Below are 4438 nucleotides of genomic sequence, written 5' to 3'. Positions count from 1 at the left end.
AGACAAATTAACCAGTTGACAAGGACCTAGCTGTCCAATGTGTTGACTTTGTTGTTACACAATATAGTCAATTCTCATTATTCACCAATTCTGTGTTTGCAAATTCCCCTATTTACAAAACTTTATCTGTAAACCCAAAACTAATACTCACAATGCATCCATAGACGTGTGCAGAGCAGTGGAAAATTTGAAAAGTTGCCTGATGCTCACATTTTCAGCTAAGGTGAACTTTGCCTGCTTGTCTCAGTTCTCATACTATAAACAAGCATCCTTTTTGCAGATTATTTAGTGCCTTTTTTTTTTTTTTTTGCATTTTTGTGTTTTTGTTGGTGATTTCGATGTTTAAAATGGGCCCCAAGTATAGTGCTGAAGTGCTGTCTGGTGTTCTTAAGCACAGAAGGGCTGTGATGTATCTGATGAAGAAAATATGTGCATTCGATAAGCTTCCTTCAGGCATGAATTACAGTGCTGTTGATTGTGAGTTTAATGCTAATGAGTAAACAATATATAGTAAATAAGCTGTCTGTAGTCAGAAATACACACAAAATAGGGTTATACATTGATCAGCTGGCAAAAGTGTGTGAGCATAAGCTCACAGGCACCTAACACCATGTTTCTCCTAGGAACCCTGTAGTGTTCCCTGTGCCTCTCTAGACTATGATTACCACAAAAAAAAAAAAAAAAAAAAAGAGAGAGAAAAGACTGTATGTATAATGTGATCTGGGAGTAAGCATTATTAGATTATTTTAATAAAGCAGTTCAAAGAGGAAAATATGCTTAAACAAACATTTGAAAAATTAGAAGTTCGAAATGGGAGTAGGGGTGCAGACAATGAGATGAGCAATGAGGGGGGAGAAGGGTATTCCAGGCGGATGGAACAACAGATACAAAGACACAGAGCAAGGGTCAACAAACTACAGCTCCTGGCTCAAACCCAGCCCTTGACTATTTTTGTAAGCGAAGTTTCATTGGAACACAGCCATATCCACTTGTTTACTCGTCATCTACTATTGTTTCGAACCTCTGGCATAGAGGCACCAGAAGCACAGTAAAGAGAATGAGAGGTAGCAAACTACTGCTACCCAGTTTGCAGTGAACTGTTCATGTGGAAGAGGGACAGTAAATAAAGCCAGTTAGCAGGAGCCAGGTGATGAAGGGCCTCACAGGCCATGAAAAGGGTTTACATAGGGAGCAGGTGTTAGGTAATTGGATGCACCGCAGAGGACAGAGTGGATAGGGGAGAGACTGGAGGCTGAGAGGCCAGTTAAGAGGCAAGGGAAATAGAAGATGGGAGTTTGGTTCCCACGGTGATTTAAATAAAGGGGAGGGGGTACAATTTCAAAAAAATTTTCAGAGACAGATTATGCTAACTTTGTGAATATTTTGATTCAAATGAGTACAAAGAAGAGCAAGAACAGACCATGGCTCCCCGGCCTCTGAATGGGATGAACTGGTCCATGATGGTGCCATCCTCCAAGACTGAGATTCCAGAGGAAGAGTTATGAGAAAGGGGAAGGATATAATTTCGGTCATGGACACTTTGAAGTTGAGACGACACTGAGACATCCAAATGGGGAAATATTGATCTGCACAAATAGGCAGTGTGGATTGAGTAAACAGTTTATCAAAGAATAATCAAAACCCTGATTGTGGTTAGCCTGCTTAAGGAAAGCACAGATGGTGATACATACAGTGAAGAGATGGGATGGTGGGAGGGGTGATGCAATAATTGATCCATTAGGGAACAACAGCCAGGCGTTGGGAGGATGAGAAGATTTTGCCAATAGTTTGTAATGGTGATCAAACATGGCAAGAACAACTGGTATCTCAGGAATCACATAAATTTCAATCCTTATGTGATATAGGTGAGTCAAATTCTACATTTATATCTTAAGAGGCCTTCTTAATTTGAATGTAAGATAGCTAGGCCCATTGCACAAGTTCACGTCAGAATTAAGAGAGTTCCACAGGCACATACTCTGTGCATGCAACCAAATTCGAAGCCCAATTGAAATTACATGGAGTGTTACCATGTTGCAGGATCACAGCAGTAGAAGGGAGGTGCCAAAACATGGCTCATGTAATGCTGCTCTAAGTTAAATGATCCAGTAAGAATTAAAGACTTTCGGCCGGGCGCGGTGGCTCACGCCTGTAATCCCAGCACTTTGGGAGGCCGAGGCGGGCGGATCACGAGGTCAGGAGATCGAGACCATCCCGGCTAAAACGGTGAAACCCCGTCTCTACTAAAAATACAAAAAATTAGCCGGGCGTAGTGGCGGGCGCCTGTAGTCCCAGCTACTTGGGAGGCTGAGTCAGGAGAATGGCGTGAACCCGGGAGGCGGAGCTTGCAGTGAGCCGAGATCCCGCCACTGCACTCCAGCCTGGGCGACAGAGCGAGACTCCGTCTCAAAAAAAAAAAAAAAAAAAAAAAAAGAATTAAAGACTTTCTTTCAACGACATGAAGGAGTTGAAGCAGTTAATGAACTCTTGCTGTATGTCAGGCATGGTAAGTGGTACAATTACCGAACATTTAAGATGAAGGGGCTTTGGGGGAATCACCTTCTCCAGGGGTTGCAAACTGTGCTCTTCCAAGTCCTAGGTAAGCCTCCCTGGGTGCCAAACCCCATCAGACCCCATTCCTTGTGGCAAGGCCCAGCTATCTTCCTACTAAACCCAATGTCTTGTTTGTGCTGGGTATACAGTCCACTTCTCAGCCTCCCTTGCAGTTAGGGATGATGGCACTGATGTACTCACTTCTGGACCTAAGTCATAAAACCCTAACTTAGGTAATCCTCTCTCTCACCCCATTTTCTAGTTGGGGTCAAAAGTTAGAGCTGTCTTGGAGGTCCCATGTTGAAGGTGGCAGAGACTCTGTCTCCCAGGATCTCTGAATGATTATCTGGAGGGAGGTCTAATTCCAACCCTAACTCTTGACAATAGACTGACTATATGAGTAAGAACTACACTGTATTTCTATACTACTATGATTCAAGGTTTTTTTGTTACAGTATTAGTGTTAATATCTTAACTAATACATTCCCCCTTCAAGCTAAACAGCATTGTATGTATCATTTTTACATAAAGTGTTAACATAAGTATGTGTTTAAAGAAAAAAAGTCTTCCTCTATTAATAATATTATAAAATTATTGATATATTTTAACTTTTTCACTTCAAAACAATGTACTGAGGTTCAGACTGGTTAAATATTTTTCCAAGGCTACCCACTATATATCTAAATAGTCATGCTGACTTAAGGAGAATTTCCCCCATGAAATAGATGGTACATATAGTGTCACTTGACTTGAACACTAAAAGACACTAAACTGAAGGAAAATATAACAATTGTTGAATTAATCTACCAATTGCCACTGGGAAAGAAGTGAGAAAAAGCTAACCTGATAAGTAAATGTGCCAGCCTTCTTCTCTTGATCTATCATTTTCTAGGTACCTGAGGTTCTTCTGGCTTGTCTTCTAAGTTCCATCATAGATTTTGCAAAAGAATTTTTTCATCTTAGGAGCTTTATTTCAAAAAATTAAGCAGTTATTTGAAAGTAGTTGAACTCATTTAATATTCTAGTGATATCCAATCAAATATCAACTGAAAATATGCTAGGCACTGTACTAGGTCCTGGGAATGTAAATTGTTCTTGCCCTCAAAGAAGAGATGAGATAGACATATAATGAAAGCATTATAAAATAGTGAGATAAATGTTAACAGATGTATAAAAACTATAGGAGCACCAAAGACAGAGCCATAACTATTTAATATTCCATAGGTTTCATGTAATTTAATATCCTAGAGGATCTTATATATCTTAAAGATTATTCATCATCAGCTAGGAATAAGATCCAAGAGAACAGTAATGAGTGTACTATTTACAATCACCATTGCTGTGGTTTGAATATTTGTCCCCTTCAAAACTCATGTTGAAATTTAGTCCGCACTGTGGCAGTATTGAGATGTAGGGCCTTTGGAGGTAATTGGGTCCTGAGGGCTCTGCCCTCATAAATAGATTAATTCAATCATGGTTTAATGGATTAGTGGGTAATACTTGGGAGTGGGACTTGTGGCTCTAGAAGAGGAAGAGAGACCTGACTTAGGATACTCAAGCCTCTCACCACATGATGCCTTGTGCTGCCTCCACAGAGTCCCCACCAGCAAGAAGTCCGTCCCCAGATATGGCCCCTTGACCTTGGACTTCTCACCTTCCATATCTATAAGAAATAAATTATTTTTCTTTATAAATTACCCAGTTTCAGATAATTTGTTATAAGCAGCAGAACAGGGACTAAGGCAACCAGTCAGCACCTTTATGTTGATTGTAACCACTAATACTGATGAATTTCTACTTTTGAACGATCAAAAAAAATTGTATGAGGTGCTTCACCAGTGAAATACAAAAGAAGACCAACACTTTAGGGTTAAAATATTTATGG

At 40.1% G+C, this 4438-nt stretch overlaps 1 long non-coding RNA gene across 1 annotated transcript in view; it reads left to right on the top strand.

Moving 5' to 3' along the window:
* Positions 1-299: 299 nt before the first annotated feature.
* Positions 300-4438, top strand: part of LOC105369927 (uncharacterized) — a 35878-nt gene continuing 31739 nt past the window's right edge. The window contains exon 1 of the long non-coding RNA XR_945249.3: positions 300-1865. This is a non-coding gene — a long non-coding RNA (uncharacterized LOC105369927). The remainder of the gene's footprint in view (positions 1866-4438) is intronic.

Source organism: Homo sapiens, chromosome 12 (assembly GCF_000001405.40).
Source record: "Homo sapiens chromosome 12, GRCh38.p14 Primary Assembly".
NCBI lineage: Eukaryota > Metazoa > Chordata > Mammalia > Primates > Hominidae > Homo > Homo sapiens.
The sequence above is the reverse complement of the archived record's forward strand: the minus strand, read 5'-3'. Positions and strand labels throughout refer to the sequence as shown.